Below are 20369 nucleotides of genomic sequence, written 5' to 3' on the forward strand. Positions count from 1 at the left end.
GCTGCGCGCTGGCTCCGGGAAGCGGTCGATGCCCGCGGCCGACGGAGACTACAACCCAGAGGCGGAGGACAAAGCGGAAGGCCGAAGAGCGAGGACGAAACCGGCGGAACCGCACTTTGGAGCCTAACGAGCCATCGCTGCGTCTGAGACTGGGACCCGGAAGTAAACAGGCCGGACGTGACGCAAGCCGCTCGGCCTAGGGATGGTGGCTGGCCGGGTTGTCATGGAAACCGCTCAGGAGCAGGGAGCTGGGAGCTATGAGTGCTGACTGCGTGAACTCGGCCTCCACTTCCCGGACCTGCCACTTATCATGATCCACGAGCTGTACTCATGACTCCGCACAAGCAAGCAGGGGCTGACGGTCGGATCCCTCGCCCCCATTTTACGGACAGAAGTACCGAGGCTCAAAGAGAGCCAGTGAGATGCTGAAATCACGCGTGATTGGAATCCAGCCTTGCTAGGGCTGCGGGTGTTACGGGCCGTGGGCGGCGGTTAAGAGCGTGGGTTCTATTTTTAGTTTTGCCACTTACTAGCTGTGTGACCTTGGACAAGTTACCTAACCTCTCTGAGCCTCAGCTTTCTAACCTGTAATATTAAATAATAAAGCCAGGCGTGGTGGCACGCGACTGTAGTCCCAGCTAGTCGGGAGGCTGAGGCGAGAGGATGGCTTGCTCCCAGGTGTTCGAGACCAACCTGGGCAACATAACGAGGCCACGTCTCTTAAAAAAAAAAAAAAAAAAAAAAAAAAAAAAAAGCCGGGCACGGCGGCTCACGCCTGTAATCCCAGCACTTTCGGATAAACTATATATATATATAATCTGACATCCCCACCAGACCCTGAGCTTCTTATTCATCTATTTCCCCCCGAGCTCTGCACATGTCTGATGAGGAGGCACACAACAGATGTTCATTGATTGTAGGATTCTCACTCTGAGTCTTGGTGACCCCAGCTAAAACCGGTGGGGCTTGTGTGATGAGTCAGTGACACAATACTGGGAAACGTTTGGAGAACCAGCAATCTGCTGCTGTCCAAACAGTAGCATTACTGTGTTTACCTGTCGTTGCCTGAGCACCGCTCAAAGTCCCTGTGTTCTTTATCAGCTCATGTTTAAGCTCCTCTCTTAATTATCTGCAATGTGATGATGTTCACAGGAATTCCATCTGAGACAAACTGTCCCACCTTAAGTCTGCCTCTTACAGCAACTCAGCACTCTGGTTTGGTAGCTCTTACAATATTGCATTTTCACGTGGGGCTGCTTAAAAAAGTCCCCTCCAGCTCTGTGGGTCTATGACAGGCAAAAGAGAAACAAAGATTTTGAAGAAGGGCTTTACCAGTAGGAAACCCTGGTCATCATCTACTATCAGAAAAGACCCAAAGTCTCCAAAGACAGTCACATTTCTCAGTTTTTTTTTTTTTTTTTTTTTTTTTTGAGACGGAGTCTCGCTCTGTCACCCAGGCTGGAGTGCAGTGGCACAATCTCAGCTCACTGCAAGCTCCGCCTCCTGGGTTCACGCCATTTTCCTGCCTCAGCCTCCGGAGTAGCTGGGACTACCGGCACGCGCCAACACGCCTGGCTAATTTTTTGTATTTTTAGTAGAGATGGGGTTTCACCAAGGTGGTCAGGATGGTCTCCATCTCTTGACCTCGTGATCCGCCCACCTCGGCCTCCCAAAGTGCTGGGATTACAGGCCTGAGCCACTGTGTCCGGCCATGTTTCTCATCTTTTAAACACAGTTGAAGGCTTGTGATTTCTCTACTTGGTGATGTAGAAATGACAGGAGCGTCCTTTCCCGACTTTATTATATAATGATTACCAGATTATGTAAGGGTCACGTGACAATGATTAGGCACTTCTACTTCCGAAGAGCCAACAACACGAACAATCTACCTACCTCTTTCTATTTTTTAGTTTTTTTTTCCATCACCAAAGTAATACATGATTCCAACAATACAGAGGAGTATAGAACAAAAAGCAAAACAGAAAAGCTACCCCATGACCCAGCAATTGGATTTCTCAAAATCTGCTAGAGAAACATACACTGTGCCCAAAGAGACCTCTTGCATCATTGTTTCTAATGCAAAAGCAATAATAGGAAATATTTAAATCTCCATCACTGGGGTAATGGTATATCCATACTAACAAATACTGTGGATCACTTAAAAAGGGTGATGCATGGCCAGGCGCGGTGGCTCACGCCTGTAATCCCAGCACTTTGGGAGGCCGAGGTGGGCAAATCACGAGGTCAAGAGGCCGAGACCATCCTGGCTAACACAGTGAAACCCTGTCTCTACTAAAAATACAAAAATTAGCCGGGTGTGGTAGCAGGCGCAGTAGCGGGTGCCTGTAGTCCCAGCTACTCGGGAGGCTGAGGCAGGAGAATGGCATGAACCTGGGAGGCAGAGGTTGCAGTGAACCGAGATGGCACCACTGCACTCCAGCCTGGGCTACAGAGTGAGACTCTGTCTCAAAAAAACAAAACAAAAAAAGTCAACTGGGGACAGGAACACAGATACAGATATCTGTCTTTCATTCCACAAACACACATTTATGTGATCTGTATTAATATCTTTCTCCCCCAGAAGTCAGTGAACTCCATGAGGACAAAACTATGTCTGTTTTGTTCACAATTATATTACTACTACCTGACATATATGCACTACCTAGCATGCAATAGGTTGTTCAACATAATTTGTTTCTGACCAGAATTTTCACTGAATACCTACCATGTGCCAAGTTTGATGTCAGATTTTTTTTTTTTAATTGAGACAGGGTCTCTCACTCTGTCACCCTGTCTGGAGTGTAGTGGCATGATCATAGCTCACTGCAGCCTCAACCTCCTAGGCTCAAGCGATCCTCCCACCTTAGCCTCCTGAGTGGCGGGGACCACAGTTGCACACCACCACATCTGGCTAATTTTGTTAACTGTTTTGTAGAGGGAGGGTCTCGCAATTTTGCCAAGGCTGCTCTCAAACTCCTGGGCTCAAGTGATCCTCCCACCTTGGCTTCCCAAGGTGCTGGGATTACAGGCATGAGTCACCATGCCCACCCTGATGTTAGGTTTAAAGGGCATAACTGTGAGTGAGACAGACACAGTTCCTGCCCTCACAGAGCATCCAGTCTCCTTAACCGAAAGAGAATATTCATAACATAGGAGTAGGATTAATAAAACCCTAGAATTCAGGATAGAAGATGGTAAATGATATGAGAGGGGTATAGAGCTTAGAGCATGGAGAAGTGACCTCTGACAGGGTAAATGAAGGATAGCCTCCAGGAGGAAGTAGCATTTGAGCTGGGCTTTGAGTGACCTGGACATGTGAGGCTGTCCAGCTTTCCTTCCAGCTGGAGTAAAGGGAGCAATCAAAGGCAAGGACCTGAGATCAAAAACTCGGCTACCTGTGGCTGGGCTCAGTGGCACAAGCCTGTAATCCCAGCAATTTGGGAGGCCGAGGCAGGCGGATCTCCTGAGGCCCAGAGTTTGAGACCAGCCTGACCGATACAGTGAAACCCCATCTGTACTAAAACCACAAAAATTAGCCAGCCTGTAGTAGTGCCCACCTGTGGTCCCAGCTACTCAGGAGGCTGAGGCTGGAGAATCGCTTAAATCTGGGAGGTGGAGGTGGCAGTGAGCCAAGATCACGCTACTGCACTCTAGCCTGGGACACAGAGGGAGACCCTGTCTCAAAAAAGCAAAAACAAAAACAAAAAACAAAAACACAAACTCAGCTACCTGCAAGCACATAATGTGGGCAAATACGAGGTACTAGAGTACTATAGCCTCACACTGCGTAGGACCAGAAATGAGTAATGTAATCTAACATGGTACCCGGCTCACAGTAGGCATCCAATAAGTACTTCAGTGAGAAAACAAATATTGTTGAATTCCTTCCATGCTTCAGCTGACTTGTGGCCAAGATCCCCACTCACCAGGAATGACCAGATACTCTGATTTTTGGAGAGGAGTTAGAGATCCAGATTGTTTGTTTATTTATTTATTTAAAGATAAGGTCTTGATCTGTCATCCAGACTGGAGTACAGTGGCATGATCATGGCTCACTGCAACCTCAAACTTCTGGACTCAAGGGATCCTCCCACCCCAGCCTCCCACACAGCTGGGACTACAGGCTCATGCCATCATGCCCAGTTAATTATTTTCTGAAGACGTGGGATCTTGCTGTGTTGCCCAGGGTGGTCTCAAACTCCTAGCCTCAGGTGATCCTCCCACTTTGACCCACCAAAGTGCTGGGATTACAGGCACCAGCCACTGCGTCCAGCCTGGAATCCAGATTTTTAAATAAAATTTCTTAATTATAAACAATATTTGTAAATATACCTCCTGTTTCTACCTGTTGAGAGGGCCTAGAAGAAATGGCACACCTGTAGCAACAAGCACGTAGACTAAGACTAACCAGATCTTAGTCCATGGAACCAGGGCTTCCTGGAGAAATGGCTGATTCCCAGGGGTAGGTCAGGGAAATTACAACATGAGGTTGGAACATGTTATTGAGCCAGAAAGTAGGAAGTGCCCAAAGAATGATGGGACATGTTGAAAGCACACAAAAGCCAGGATGGAGGGTCCCTATTGGCCAGATATGGGCAATGTGAGTATCAAAATAAATAATAATAACAGATTATAAAACTTAATTGTGGGGAGAGAAGTTATGAGCCCATACTAATGCTAAACATAAAATATCATGCTTCATCCAGGCATGGTGGCTCATGCCTGTAATCCCAGCACTTTGGGAGGCCGAGGCAGGTAGATCATCTGAGGTCAGGAGCCTGGTCAACATGGTGAAACCCCATCTCTAGAAAAATACAAAACAAAATTAGCTGGGCATGATGGTGGGTGCTTGTAATCCCAGCTACTTGGGAGGCTGAGGCAGGAGAATTACTTGAACCCAGAAGGTGGAGGTTGCAGGGAGCTGAGATTGCACCATTGCACTCCAGCCTGGGTGACAGAGCGAGACTCTGTCTCAAAAAAAACAACAACAACCATGTTTTATTTTTTATTTTTTAGGCTAGTCAAGTGAAGCAATGGGAATGGAGAAGAAACAAATCTATAACTGGTTGTGATGAATTAGTCGTAAGCACCACTGCAATTGGACCAGTCAATACCATGGTTATCACAGGAGTGTGGCTGAGGCTGTGTTTGGCCCTGGGTGCCAGGTCTGCACCCTGCACTAAGGATGGGTGAGGAACGACAGGCAGTCGAGCTGGTTGGTGCTACAGGTAACGATAGTACCTACCAAAATACAGGTTAAATGAGATAGTCCTTGTGACATGATAACATGTTAATTACTCAATTAGCATTAGCTATCATGAATCAATCCTTTTATATGTTTTAAAGCCTAGAGAAGCACTTTATCCATAGTGGCTGCTTATTACATTTATTACATTTCTCTTGATTGAATGAAATGATACAGTTTTGCTAACTACTAGCTCTTACTTCCCATACTGTTTTCTTTTCAGGATCCTCACTCTGATCTAAGAGCATAATTTAATTGTGTTGTCAGACAGCTTATCTTCAGGGTTATGACATGGAGTCAGACTGCCTGGGACATCATATTTATTTATTTATTTATTTATTTATTTATTTATTTATTTATTGAGACAGGGTCTCTGTCACCCAGGCTAGAGTGCAGTGGTGCCATCTTGGCTCACTGCAACCTCCACCTCCCAGGCTTAAGCAATCCTCCTACCTCAGCCTCCCAAGTAACTGGGACTACAGGCATGCGCCACCATGCCCTTGTATTTTTTGTGGAGACAGGATTTATTCATGTTGCCCAGGCTGGTCTCAAACTCCTGAGTTCGCCCTCTCCCTCTCCCTCCCCCTCCCCCTCCCCCTCCCCCTCCCCCTCTCCCTCTCCCCACGGTCTCCCTCTCTCTCTCTTTCCACGGTCTCCCTCTGATGCCGAGCCGAAGCTGGACGGTACTGCTGCCATCTCGGCTCACTGCAACCTCCCTGCCTGATTCTCCTGCCTCAGCCCGCCGAGTGCCTGCGATTGCAGGCGCGCGCCGCCACGCCTGACTGGTTTTCGTATTTTTTTGGTGGAGACGGGGTTTCGCTGTGTTGGCCGGGCTGGTCTCCAGCTCCTAACCGCGAGTGATCCGCCAGCCTCGGCCTCCCGAGGTGCAGGGATTGCAGACGGAGTCTCGTTCACTCAGTGCTCAATGGTGCCCAGGCTGGAGTGCAGTGGCGTGATCTCGGCTCGCTACAACCTCCACCTCCCAGCAGCCTGCCTTGGCCTCCCAAAGTGCCGAGATTGCAGCCTCTGCCCGGCCGCCACCCCGTCTGGGAAGTGAGGAGCATCTCCGCCTGGCCGCCCATCGTCTGGGATGTGAGGAGCCCCTCTGCCTGGCTGCCCAGTCTGGAAAGTGAGGAGCGTCTCTGCCCGGCCGCCATCCCATCTAGGAAGTGAGGAGCGCCTCTTCCCAGCCGCCATCACATCTGGGAAGTGAGGAGCGTCTCTGCCCGGCCGCCCATCGTCTGAGATGTGGGGAGCACCTCTGCCCTGCCGCCCCGTCCGGGATGTGAGGAGCGTCTCTGCCCGGCCGCCCCGTCTGAGAAGTGAGGAGACCCTCTGCCTGGCAACCGCCCCGTCTGAGAAGTGAAGAGCCCCTCCGCCCGGCAGCCGCCCCGTCTGAGAAGTGAGGAGCCCCTCCGCCCAGCAGCCACCCCGTCTGGGAAGTGAGGAGCATCTCCGCCCGGCAGCCACCTCGTCCGGGAGGGAGGTGGGGGGGTCAGCCCCCCGCCCGGCCAGCCGCCCGGTCCGGGAGGTGAGGGGCGCCTCTGCCCGGCCGCCCCTACTGGGAAGTGAGGAGCCCCTCTGCCCGGCCAGCCGCCCCGTCCGGGAGGGATGTGGGGGGGTCAGCCCCCCGCCCGGCCAGCCGCCCTGTCCGGGAGGGAGGTGGGGGGGGTCAGCCCCCCGCCTGGCCAGCTGCCCCGTCCGGGAGGTGAGGGGCGCCTCTGCCCGGCCGCCCCTACTGGGAAGTGAGGAGCCCCTCTGCCCGGCCACCACCCCGTCTGGGAGGTGTACCCAACAGCTCATTGAGAACGGGCCATGATGACAATGGCGGTTTTGTGGAATAGAAAGGGGGGAAAGGTGGGGAAAAGATTGAGAAATTGGATGGTTGCTGTGTCTGTGTAGAAAGAGGTAGACATGGGAGACTTTTCATTTTGTTCTGTACTAAGAAAAATTCTTCTGCCTTGGGATCCTGTTGATCTGTGACCTTACCCCCAACCCTGTGCTCTCTGAAACATGTGCTGTATCCACTCAGGGTTGAATGGATTAAGAGCGGTGCAAGATGTGCTTTGTTAAACAGATGCTTGAAGGCAGCATGCTCCTTAAGAGTCATCACCACTCCCTAATCTCAAGTACCCAGGGACACAAACACTGCGCAAGGCCGCAGGGTCCTCTGCCTAGGAAAACCAGAGACCTTTGTTCACTTGTTTATCTGCTGACCTTCCCTCCACTATTGTCCTGTGACCCTGCCAAATCCCCCTCTGCGAGAAACACCCAAGAATGATCAATAAAAACAAACAAACAAACAAACAAACAAACAAACTCCTGAGTTCAAGCAATCCACCCGCCTTGGCCTCCCAAAGTGCTGGGATTACAGGCGTGAGCCACTGCGCCCAGCCTCATCATCTTTCTAAGCCTCAGTTTCCCCACCTGTAAAATGGAGCTGATCATAGTATCTTCTTCATAAGGTTATTTTGCATATTGAATGGGATAACATGTGCAAAGAAGTTCCCCCAGTGCCTGGAAGGCAGTGATCCTGCAGCAAATGTTATCCACGATTAGGATTCTTGTTGTCCCACATGAATTTGCTGGGTGCTACAGATTCTGTCTGGCTCCCAAAGCTCAGAATTCATTCTGGCCTCCCACGGGTGGAGGCAGGGTTTGGGGGAGGTTTGTAACTCTAAAGATGGCACGTCTTGAACTGAAAGCTGGCGCTGTCAAGCTTCTTCACAATCAGTAAGAACGGCTTTCTTCCCCCTTTTCCCTAAATATAAACCCAACTGCCAATCGCTTTAAAGTCTTCATGTCTGCAGCAGGAGCAACCCACGAGTCCAAAGGTGAGGCAGCTGGCAGAGGGCTGTTGTTAGTGGGATCCACCCAGCCCAGCCCAGCTCCAAGGAGACACACTTCATGGGACTGGATGTGGGCAACTCAGCATTTCTTCCTTATGATTCTTAATTGCTCCTGAAAACAGTAACCCCAAAGTTACGAGCCCCAGTGTGTACTATAACAGTCTCTTAAAGTACTGGGTTTCAGGGCTGGGCACAGTGGCTCACTTGTGTAATCCCAGCACTTTGGGAGGCCAAGGCAGGAGGATCACTTGAGGTCAGGAGTTCCAGACCAGCCTGGCCAACATAGTGAAACACCATCTCTAGTAAAAATACTAAAATTAGCCGGGCATGGTGGCGCATGCCTGTAATCCCAGCTACTTGGGAGGCTGAGGCAGGAGAATTGCTTGAACCAGGAGGCGGAGGTTGTAGTGAGCCGAGATTGCACCACTGCACTCCAGCCTGGGCAACAGAGCGAGACTCCATCGCAAAAAAAAAAAAAAAAAAAAAAAAGTATTGGGTTTTAGAAGACGGCTTGCTGGAAGCAAACATCTTTGTCCTTCCCTCTCCCTTGAAGCAAGCAAAGGAAAGCCACACACAGGTTGTCCTTATTACATAGCAACATTATCCCTAGGCCAGAAGTCGAAGTAGGCTCTGGAGCCGAAAGGCTTAAGTTCAGATCCTAGCCCTGCCGCTTTCCATCTGTGTGACCTTGGACAAGCTATCTAACCTCTCTGGGACTGCCTCTATTTCCTTATCAGTAAAATGGGATTAATAGTACCCCTGAGGATTATTGAGAGATTAAATGAGCTAATAATATACGATGCCAAGTGCAGAGTGAGCATTCAACACAAGCTAGATATGACTGACTCAGTCACAGGGCTTGCCAGGCTGGGGTGTAGAGTCAGCCTCAGACCAATGGGGAACATAATGGGACTTATGCCATTATGGTCAGGCCTTGACACCTTGCATTTATGCTGCTCAAAAGAGGAGGATTTTGGCTAGGGGCCATGGCTCACGCATGTAATCCCAATGCTTTGAGAGGGCGAAACTGGAGGATTGCTTGAGGCCAGAAGTTGGAGACCAGTCTAGGCTACATAGTAAAGCCCCATCTCTCCAAAAAATTTTAAAAATTAGGTAGACACGTAGCATGAGCCCATAGTCCTAGCTACTGGGGAGGCTGAGGTGGGAGAATCTCTTGAGCCCAAGAGTTTGAGGTTACAGTGAACTGTGATGGCACCACTGCACTCCAGCCTCAGCAACAGAGTGAGACCCTGTCTCTAAAAAAAAAAATAAGTTAAAAAAAGTGTAGAATTGTATAATATCCAGAATATATGAAGAATTTCTATAACGCAACAACAAATAGACAACCCAATTTAAAAATGGGCAAAGGTGGCTGGGCATGGTGGCTCACACCTGTAATCCCAGCACTTTCGGAAGCCAAGGGGGGTAGATCATTTGAGCTCAAGAGTTCAAGACCAGCCTGGCCATCATGGCAAAATCCCATCTCTACTAAAAATGCAAAAGTTGGCCGGGCACAGTGGCTCACACCTGTAATCCCAGCACTTTGGGAGGCCGAGGCGGGAGGATCACCTGAGGTCGGGAGTTCAAGACCAGCCTGGCCAACATGGTGAAACTCCATCTCTACTAAAAATACACCAGGAGCAGTGGATCATGCCTGTAATCCCAGCACTTTGGGAAGCCAAGGTGTGTGGATCACCTGAGTTTGGGAGTTCGAGACCAGTCTGGCCAACATAGTGAAACCCCATCTCTACTAAAAATACAAAAATTAGCCAGGCATGGTGGCATGTGCCTGTAATCCCAGCTACTTGGGAGGCTGAGGCAGGAGAATCGCTTGAACCCAGGAGGCGGAGGCTGCAGTGAGTCGAGATTTTGCCATTGCACTCCAGCCTGGGTGACAACAGTGAAACTCTGTCTCAAAAAAAAATAATAAAAAAATTTTTTTAAAAATACAAAAATTAGCTGGGTGTAGTGGCAGGCCCCTGTAATCCCAGCTACTTGGGAGGCTGAGGTGAGAGAATCATGTGAACCTAGGAGGTGGAGGTTGCAGTGAGCCAAGATCTCACCATTGCACTCCAGTCTGGGCAACAGAGTGAGATTCTATCTCAAAATAAATAAATAAATAAAATTAAAAATGGGCAAAGGACTTGAATAGACATTTCTCCAAAGAAGATACACAGATGGCCAATAAGCATGTGAAAAGATGTGTGTCATCACTAATCTTTAGGGAAATGTAAATCAAAACCACAGTGAGATTCCACTTCAAACCCTCTAGGGTGGCTATAATAAAATGTTTTTGAAAAGGAAAATAACAAATGTTGGCAATGATGTAAAGAATGGAATACTCGTACTTGCTGGTGGGAATGTAAAATGGTGCAGCCACTGTAAAGAACAGTCTGGCAGTTCCTCAAAAAGTTAAATACAGAATGACCATATGACTCAGCAATTCTGCTCCTAGGCATATGCCTGAAAGAATTGAAAATAAGGACTCAAAACAGACACTTGTACATCAATGTTCATTGCAGTATTATTCACATTAGCCAAAAGGTAGAAACGACCCAAGTGTTTGCTGACAGATGAATGAATAAACAAAATGTGGTACATCCATGCAATGGAATATTATTCAGCCTTAAAAAGTGAGGAAATTCCAATGCTACATCATGGATAAACCTTAAAAATATTATGTTAAGTGAAAGAAGCCAGTCACAAAAGGACAAATATTGTGTGATTCCACTAGATGAGATGTCTGTAATAGGCAAATTCATAGAGACAGAAAAAGGATTAGAGGTTACCAGTGGCTGGAGAGGGAGGAATGGGGAGCTATTTCTTATAGATGGAGTTTCTGTTTAGGTTGCTGAAAAAATTTTGGAAACAGAGGCGATGTTTGCACAACATTGTGAATGTAATTACTGCCACTAAAGTATATGCTTTATGGTGGTTAAAATGGCAATTTTTATGTTATGTATGTTATCACAATAAAAAAATTTTGGGGGGGGCCAGGCCAGTGGCTCACACCTGTAATCCCAGCACTTTGGGAGGCTGAGGTGGGTGGATCACTTGAGGTCAGGAGTTCGAGACCAGCCTGGCCAACATGGTGAAACCCTGTCTCTACTAAAAATACAAAAAAAAAAATAGCTGGATCTCATGACACCCACCTGAAATCTCAGGTACTCGGGAGGCTGAGGCAGGAGAATTGCTTGAACCCAGGAGGTGGAGGTTGCAGTGAGCCACGATCACACCATTGGAATCCGTGCACTCCAGACTGGGCAACAGAGCAAGACCCTGTCTCAAAAAAAAAAAATGGTGTGGCTGGGCACAGTGGCTCATGCCTGTAATTCCAGCACTTTGGGAAGCCAATCTGGGTGGATCATTTGATGTAAGGAGTTCGAGACCAGCCTGGCCAACATGGTGAAACCCTGTCTCTACTAAAAATACAAAAAAATTAGCTGGACGTGGTGGCACACACTTGAAATCCCAGCTACTAGGGAGGCTGAGGGAGAAGAATTACTTGAACCGGGAGGCAAAGGTTGCAGTGAGCCGAGATGGTACCACTGCACTCCAGCCTGGGAACAAAGTGAGACTCCATCTCAAAAAAAAAAATAAATAAATAAATAACAGAAGATCTGGACAGACACTTCACAGAGGTAAAACATACAAAATGGCCAATAAACAAATGAAAAGGTACTCAACGTCATTAATCATTATGAAATCTAAAATTGCACAGTACCACTACACACTCACTAGAATGGCTAAAAGTGTCTGACAACCAAATGTTGGTGAGGACGTGAAGCAACTCATACCTTGTTAGTGGTCATGGGAAATAGTTGGAAAATGGCTTGGTTTGGCAGTTTCTAATAAAATTAAACACACATTGGCCGGGCACGGTGGCTCACGCCTGTAATCCCAGCACTTTGGAAGGCCAAGGCGGGCAGATCACCTGAGATCAGGAGTTCAAGACCAGCCTGGCCAACATGGTGAAACCCCATCTCTACAAAAATACAAAAATTAGCCGGGCATGATGGCAGGTGTTTGTAATCCCAGCTACTCAGGAGGCTGGGGTGGAAGAATCGCTTGAACCCAGGAGGCGGAAGTTGCAGTGAGCCGAGATCGTGCCATTGCATTCCAGCCTGGGCAACAGCAAGACTCCATCTCAAAAACAAACAAACAAAACAGACAAACAAACAAACAAAACAAAAAAAATTAAACACACATTTACGAAATGACCCGGAAATTCTACTTCTATGTGAATGCTTAGTTTTGAAATGTCTTGTTAATTGTGATGACTTTCTTCTATCCTTAGCCAATGTCTCAAGTCACAATATACACATGAGGTGCAGTTTATTGTAGATGAAGGTGGATTCAAATCCCCTATTTCAATGTCTTCTTGTTAGTACTCATTATTTGGTTGTAGTTCTTGTCAGATATTATGAGATCGTTATGTTTTTACCTCATTATGTGGCTGACCCTTGATATAATAGAAACTGTAAAATGCTATGAGCTGGTGGGATAACTGATGAAATGCAATTTTCTGGAGGCAGTTTTTTTTTAATTTTTTTTTTTGAGACAGGCTCTCACTCTGTCGCCCAGGCTGGAGTGCAGTGGCGCAGTCTTGGCTCACTGCAACCTCTGCCTCCTGGGTTCAAGCGATTCTCCTGCCTTAGCCTCCTTAGTAGCTGGGATTAACAGGCATGCGCCACCACACCCGGCTAATTTTTGTATTTTTTTGGTAGAGACTGGGGTTTTACCATGTTGGCCAGGCTGGTCTCAAACTCCTGACCTCAAGTGATACACCGGCCTCTGCCTCCCAAAGTGTTGGGATTACAGGCGTGAGCCGCTGCACCCTGCCAGGGGCCGCATTTTTATGTGATCATCCCCGCGTGGCTTTCCTGTTTGAGACTGAATAATTCACTGTTACATTTCCAACACTTACCAGGATACTTAGCACATAGAGTTATTGGTTGAATGAATATTTACATGCCAGTGTCTCCTCTGTTAAGACTCCTTTTAGGCTGAGACTCTTTTTTTTTTTTTTTAATTTTTGTTTTCAGGCAATGTACAGTAAGCCATGATGGGCAGAGGCAGGAAATACTTAGAGAACTGGAAAGAATAAAGGAGCCGGTGTTCTCTTCGCAGGGCCCGGTGAGTCTGTGAGATGCTCACACGCCCCCTGGTGGTGTCAGTAGGAATTCTTCCTGGCGCTCAGCAATTTGGCAATCTTGAAGAACCGGCTGAAATCAAGATGAAATTATCTGCCCACAGGTTTAAAAATGTAGCAATACATGATGGGGTAAATTATGCCTAACTTAGACAAGTATAGCGATAAATTTTACATGTGGCCTGAGGCTGATAGAACTGTGACGCCTGAGAGTTACAGGATTTGAGGGCTGGAGTTACTTCCGATTCATCTTAACTGTTCTTAATGCATCATTGTTTATTTTTTCTTTTTTTAAGAGAAAAAAAAGTCACCCAGGCTGGAGTGCAATAGCACGATCATGGTTCATTGCAGCCTCAACGTCCTGGGGTCAAGCAGTCCTCCTCAGCCTCCCCAAGTGCTGAGCCCACATGTGCATGCCCCTATGCCCAGATATTTTTTGTATTTTTTGTAGGGATGGGATCTTGCTATGTTGCCCAGGGTGGTCTCGAACTCCTGGGCTCCAGGCAATTGCCTTAGCCTCTCAAAGTGCTGGGATTACAGATGTGAGCCACCTCACCTGGTCCCGAATTTTTAATTAAAAAGTGGTGCATGAACTTGATATAAATATTTAGACAACACAAGAGGAAACAGAAGGAGAAGTCTTTCTCCAGGCCCAGAACCTAAGACCCAGTCCCTTAGCTCCCCTTTTGTTTTTTGGTTTTTTGTTTGTTTGTTTCTTTTCATATAAAATAGAGACAGGGTCTTGCCATGTTTCCCAGGCTGGTCTCAAACCGCCAGGCTCAAGTGATCCACCTGCCTTAGCCTCCCAAAGTGCTGGGATTACAGGCATGACCCACCACACCCGGGCCATTTTCCCTTTCTAATAGGAACCATTGGTACCAGATTCTCAGAAATCTTCCCAGGAGGCCGGGCGCGGTGGCTCACGCCTGTAATCCCAGAACTTTGGGAGGCCGAGGCGGGTGGATCACCTGAGGTCAGGAGTTCGAGACCAGCCTGGCCAACATGGCGAAATCCCGTCTCTACTAAAAATATAAAAAAATTAGCCGGGCGTGGTAGTGGACACCTGTAATCCCAGCTACTCAGGAAGCTGAGGCAGGAGAATTGCTTGAACCCAGGAGATGGAGGTTGCAGTGAGCCAACATGGTCCCACTGCACTCCAGCCTGGGTGAGAGTGAGACTCCGTCTCAGAAAAAAAAAAAAAAAAATCTTTCCAGTAGGGCAATTGACTCATCCTGTTTTGCCCGGGACTTTCCCAGTTTTGGCACTGAAAGTCTCACATCCTGGGAAACCCCTCACTCCCAGGCAAACCTGGACACTTGGTCACCCTACTTTCCAAAGGCATCTATTTATCATATACAAACATATACATATATTAGTTGCATTACTTGGCATCTTGATGTTGTTTTAATTAAAAATATTTTTTGGGCCAGGTGCAGTGGCTCACACCTGTAATCCCAGCACTTTGGGAGGCCAAGGTGGGCAGCTCACTTGAGGTCAGGAGTTCAAGACCAGCCTGGCCAACATGGTGAAACCCCGTCTCTACTAAAAATACAAAAGTTAGCCAGGTGCAGTGGCGCATGCCTGTAATTCCAGCTACTCGAGAGGCTGAGGTAGGAGAATCTCTTGAACCCAGGAGGCAGAGGTTGCAGCGAGCTGAGATCGTGCCACTGCACTCCAGTCTGGGTGACAGAGCGAGACTCCATTTTAAAAAAAAGTTTTATATATATATATATATATGAGATGATTCAATATCAGCTTCATATTTATTTAACAAATATTTATGTAATTACCTAGCATGCACCAGGCATTATTTTGGAAGCTGAAGATAACAGCAGTAAACAAAATTGACAAAACCTCCTGACCTCATGGAATTGATATACTAGTAATTATATCTATTGCATTTGTTTAATCACCCCCAATCATCATTTTGGTTGCTTCCAGTATCTTCCTAGTGTGACAACGCTGTCCTGGATATCCGTGTGCATGTAGCTGTCTCACATGCATGAGGGTATCTATAGCAGCGCTGTCCAATAGATCTTCCTGCAACGATGGAAATGTTCTGTGTCTGATCTTTTCAATATGTAGCCACGAGTCACTTGTGGCTATTGAGCACTAGACATATGGCTAGTAAGACTGGGGAATAGAATTTTATATTTTATTTAGTTGTTTTGTTTTGTTTTGAGACAAAGTCTTGCTCTGTCGCGCAGGCTGGAGTGCAGTGGTGCAGTCTCAGCTCACTGCAAGCTCCGCCTCCTGGCTTCACGCCATTCTCCTGCCTCAGCCTCCCGAGTAGCTGGGTCTACAGGCACCCGCCACCAGGCCCGGCTAATTTTTTTGTATTTTTTAGTAGAGACAGGGTTTCACTGTGTTAGCCAGGATAGTCTCGATCTCCTGCCCTCATGATCCATCCACCTCGGCCTTCCAAAGTGCTGGGGTTACAGGTGTGAGCCACTGCGCCTGGCCTTTTTTTTTTTTTTTTTTTTTTTTGAGAAAGGGTCTCTGTCAGTCAGGCTGGAATGCAGTGGCACAATCATGTTTCACTGCAGCCTCGATCTCTAGAGCTTAAGCAATCCTCCCACTTCAGCCTCCTGAGTAGCTGGGACCACAAGTGTGCACCACCACACGTAGCTAGTTTTTTTTATGTAGAGATGGCGGGGTCTTGCTATGTTGATTAAGCTGGTTTCAAACTCCTGGCCTCAAGCGATCCTCCCATGTTGACCTCCCAAAGTGCTGGGATTACAGGTGTGAGCCACTGCACCTGGCATTAATTTTGTTTTTTTTTTTTTTTTTGAGACAGGGTCTTGCTCTTGCCCAGACTGGAGTGCAGTGGCAAGATTACAGCTCAATGATGCTTTGAACTCCTGGGCTCAAGCAACCCTCCTCTGAGTAGCTAAGACTACAGGCACATGCCACTGCACTCAGCTAATTTTATGTTTGTTTGTTTGTAGACAGCAGGGTCTTGGTACGTTGCCCAGGTTGATCTTGAACTCCTGGCCTCAAGTGATCCTCCCACTTATTTTTGTATTTTTTGTAGAGATGGGGGAGGGAGTTGGGGGTGGTGGGGTGTCTCACTGTGTTACCCAGGATGGTCTTAAACCCCTGGACAAAAGTGATCCACCCCCCTCAGCAACCCAAAGTGCTGGGATTACAGGCGTGAGCCACCATGCCCAGCCCTTTCTTAAATTTAAGCAAACAAATTTTAATAATGATGGCTGACTCCTGTAATCCCAGCACTTTGGGAGACCAAGACAGGAGGACCATTTGAGCTCAAGAGTTCGAGACCAGCCTTGGCAACATGGTGAAACCCTGTCTCTACAAAAAATTTAAAAATTAGCTGGGTGTGGTGTGCACGCCTATAGTCCCAGCTACTTGGGAGGCTGGGGTGGGAGGACGGCTTTTGCCCATGAGGTGGAGGTTGCAGTGAGCCAAGATTTTGCCATTGTCCTCCAGCTTGGGCAACAGAGCCAGACCCTGTCTCAAAAAAGAAAAAAAAAAGCCTAGGCAACATAGTGAGACCCCATCACTACAAAAAATAGAAAAAATAGCTAGGTGTGATGGCACATGCCTGTAGTCTCACCTACTCAGGAGGCTGAGGCAGGAGGATCACTTGAGCCTGGGAAGTCAAGGCTGCAGTGAGCTGTGATCACATCACTGCACTCCATCCTGGGTGACAGAGTGAGACTCTGTCTCAAAAAAAAAAAAAAAAAAAAAAAGGAAAGAAAGAAAGGGAGGGAAGGAGGGAAGGAACAAAGGAAGGAACGAAGGAAGGAAGGAAGGGAAGGAGGGAGGAAGGAAGGAAGGAAGGAAAAAAGGAAGGAAAAATTTAGGCTGGGCACAATGGCTCACGCCTGTAATCCCTAGCACTTTGGAGGCCGAGGTGGGCCGATCGTGAGGTCAGGAGATCGAGACCATCCTGGCTAACATGGTGAAACCCCGTCTCTACTAAAAATACAAAAAAAATTAGCCGGGCGTGGTGGTGGGCGCCTGTAGTCCCAGCTACTCAGGAGGTTGAGGCAGGAGAATGGCGTGAACCCAGGAGGCGGAGCTTGCAGTGAGCCGAGATTGTGCTACTGCACTCCAGCCTGGGCAACAGAGCGAGACTCTGTCTCAAAAAAAAAAAAAATTAATTTAAAAGAAATTTTTTTTGAGACTGAGTTTCACTCTTGTTGCCCAGGCTGGAGTCCAGTGGCTCGTTCTCCACTCACTGCAACCTCTGCCTCCTAGGTTCAAGCGATTCTCCTGCCTCAGCCTCCCAAGTAGCTGGGACTACAGGCATGCACCACCAGGCCCGGTTAATTTTTGTATTTTTAGTAGAAACAGGGTTTCACCATGTTGGTCAGGCTGGTCTTGAACTCCTAACCTCAGGTGATCCACCCGCCTCAGCCTCCTCCTGCTGAGATTACAGGCATGAGCCGCCATACCCAGCTTTTTTTTTTTTTTTTTTTAAAGAACATGATTCAACTGTATTGCTCTCTATAAGAAACTCACTTTATAGACTGGTTCTGAAAGGATGGAAAAAGATATTTCATGCAAATATCTTTTTGCGTGACCAAAGAAGAGGAGGGCTGGCAATACTAATATCAGAAAAATTACTTGTCCAGGCCGGGCACGGTAGCTCACACCTGTAATCCTAGCACTTTGGGAGGCCGAGGCGGGTGCATCACCTGAGGTCAGGAGTTTGAGACCAGCCTAAAAAATATGGTGAAATCCTGTCTCTACTAAAAATACAAAAATTAGCCAGGCGTGGTCGTGCATGCCTGTAGTCTCAGCTACTCAGGAGGCTGAAACAGGAGAATCACCTGAACCCAGGAGACAGAGGTTGCCGTGAGCTGAGATCACACCACTGCACTCCAGCCTGGACGACAGAGCAAGACCCTGTCTCAAAAAAAGAAAAAAGAAAAATTACTTGTCCAAAAGGTTACAAGAGATAAAGAAGGCATTGTATGTTAATAAAAAGTTCAATACAGCAAGAAGATATAACAATTATAAACATTTATATACCTAATAACAGACCATCAGAACATATGAAGCAAAAATTGGTAGAATTGAAGGAAGAAATAGACAATTCCACAATAATAGTTAGAGACTTCAATGCCCCACTCCCAAGAATAAATAGAACAAACAGGAGACAAGTAAGGAAATAAAGGACTTGAGCGACACAGTAAGACAACCAGGTCTAACACATGTACAGACACTCCCCAGCAACAACAGCATCCACATTCTTCTCAGGCACACATGGGATATCCTCCAGGATGGACCATATGTTAGGCCACAGATTAAGCCTCAAGAGATTTTAAAAGGTAGACATCAGCCAGCTGTGGTGGCTTAGGCCTGTAATCCCAGCACTTTGGGAGGCTGAGGCAGGAGGATTGCTCGTGCCCAGGAGTTTGCAACCAGCCTGGGCAACACAGCCAGACTTCATCTCTACAAAAAGAGACAGAAGAAAAGGAGAAAGAGAGAAAGATAAGAAGGAAAGAAAGAAGAAATAAAAGAGATCATACCAAATATCTTCTCCAAGCACAATTGGATAAGGCTAGAAATCAATATGGGGGGGTTAAAAAAAAAAAGAAATCAATATCAAAGGAAAACTGGAAAATTCACAAATTTGTGGAAATTTACACACTCTTAAAAGAACCAATGGATCAAAGAAGAAATCACAAGGGAAATTAGAAAATACTCAGAAACAGGCCAGGCTGGGTGGCTCACACCTGTAATCCCAGCATTTTGGGAGGCCGAGGTTGGCGGATCACTTGAGGTCAGGCGTTTGAGACCAGCCTGGCCAACATTGTGAAACCCTGTCTCTACTAAAAATACAAAAATTAGCCAGGCGTGGTGGCAGGCACCTGTAATCCCAGCTACTTGGGAGGCTGAGGCAAGGGAATTGCTTGAATCCAGGAGAGGGAGGCTGCAGCGAGCAGAGATTGCACCAATGCACTCCAGCCTGGGCGACAGAGTGAGACTCCATCTCAAAATAAATAAATTAATTAAATAAATAGAGAAAATATTGAGAAACAAATGAAAACAAAAACACAGCATGCCAAAATTTACTGGACACAGTGAAAGCAGTGCTCAGGGGAAATTTTATAGCTATAAGTGCTTCAAAATCATAGACAGAAAATTGCCAGGGCCTGGGGGTATGGGGATGGGAGGAGGGAAGAGGAAGTTATTGTTTAATGGGGACAGAATTTCAGTTTCAGTTTAGCAAGAAGACCAGAATTTTAGAGATAGCTGATGGTGATGATTGCACAATATGAAATGAATGTACTTTGTTGTTGGGGTTTTTTTGTTTTGTTTTGTTGTTGTTGTTGTTGTTTTTTGAGAGGGAGTCTCGCGCTGTCGCCCAGACTGGAGTGCAGTGGCAAGATCTTGGCTCACTGCAAGCTCCGCCTCCCAGGTTCAAGCCATTCTCCTGCCTCAGCCTCCCGAGTAGCTGGGACTACAGGCGCCCGCCACCACGCCCGGCTAATTTTTTGTATTTTTAGTAGAGACAGGGTTTCACCGTGTTAGCCAGGTTGTGTTTTTGTTTTTTTTTTTTTTTTTCAGACGGAGTTTCGTTCTTGTTGCCCAGGCTGGAGTTTAGTGACTGTTGGAGTGAGTGAGCCATCTTGGCCCACGGCAACCTTCGCCTCCCAGGTCAAAGGCTTTTCCTGCCTCAGCGTCCTGAGTAGCTGAGGCTACAGGCATGGGCAACCACGCCTGGCTAATTTTAGTATTGTTAGTAGAGACGGGGTTTCACCATGTTGGCCAGGCTGCTCTAGTACTCCTAGGCTCAAGCGATCCGCCCACCTCGGCCTCCCAAAGTGCTGAGATTACAGAAGTAAGCCACCTTGCCCAGCTCCTTTGTATAAATAAATGATATTGATTTTCTTCTTGCAGCTCAGGAATTAGATCTGTTATTAGAATTTGCTTAAATTTAAGAAATGGCTGGGTACTGTGGCTCACCGCTGTAATCCCAGCACTTCGGGTTGCCGAGGCAGGCGGATTGCTTGCGTCCAAGAGTTCGAGGCCAGCCTCGGCAACACAGTGAGACCCGCCCGCTCTCTGCACCACTCCTTCCCCCCCTCCTTTCCCCGTCTCTACAAAAAATACAAAAATAAATAAATTAGTCCGGCATGGTGGTGAC

At 47.4% G+C, this 20369-nt stretch overlaps 1 long non-coding RNA gene across 1 annotated transcript, besides 4 other annotated features; it reads left to right on the top strand.

Moving 5' to 3' along the window:
- LOC105372653 (uncharacterized) lies at positions 237-13236 on the top strand. The gene is made up of 3 exons (NR_134564.1): positions 237-500; positions 5017-5228; positions 13140-13236. It is a non-coding gene; the product is annotated as an uncharacterized LOC105372653 (long non-coding RNA).
- Positions 10026-10195: an enhancer, noted in NCBI's record as "experimental_60723 CRE fragment used in MPRA reporter constructs". NCBI's record gives its function as "activates a minimal promoter by MPRAs in K562 erythroleukemia cells, with activity observed for the non-introgressed 20:48542233 variant allele {active_cell/tissue: K562}" and the evidence as "EXISTENCE:reporter gene assay evidence [ECO:0000049][PMID:34662402]".
- Positions 13107-13401: a silencer, noted in NCBI's record as "tiled region #9917; K562 Repressive DNase unmatched - State 8:EnhW". NCBI's record gives its function as "represses a minimal TATA promoter and a strong SV40 promoter by Sharpr-MPRA in K562 cells {active_cell/tissue: K562}" and the evidence as "EXISTENCE:reporter gene assay evidence [ECO:0000049][PMID:27701403]".
- Positions 18374-18574: a silencer, noted in NCBI's record as "peak4247 fragment used in MPRA reporter construct". NCBI's record gives its function as "represses an SCP1 promoter by STARR-seq MPRAs in K562 erythroleukemia cells {active_cell/tissue: K562}" and the evidence as "EXISTENCE:reporter gene assay evidence [ECO:0000049][PMID:32103011]".
- Positions 20013-20092: a silencer, noted in NCBI's record as "silent region_13007". NCBI's record gives its function as "represses an Ori minimal core promoter by ATAC-STARR-seq in GM12878 lymphoblastoid cells {active_cell/tissue: GM12878}" and the evidence as "EXISTENCE:reporter gene assay evidence [ECO:0000049][PMID:35858748]".

Source organism: Homo sapiens, chromosome 20 (assembly GCF_000001405.40).
Source record: "Homo sapiens chromosome 20, GRCh38.p14 Primary Assembly".
Classification (NCBI taxonomy): domain Eukaryota; kingdom Metazoa; phylum Chordata; class Mammalia; order Primates; family Hominidae; genus Homo; species Homo sapiens.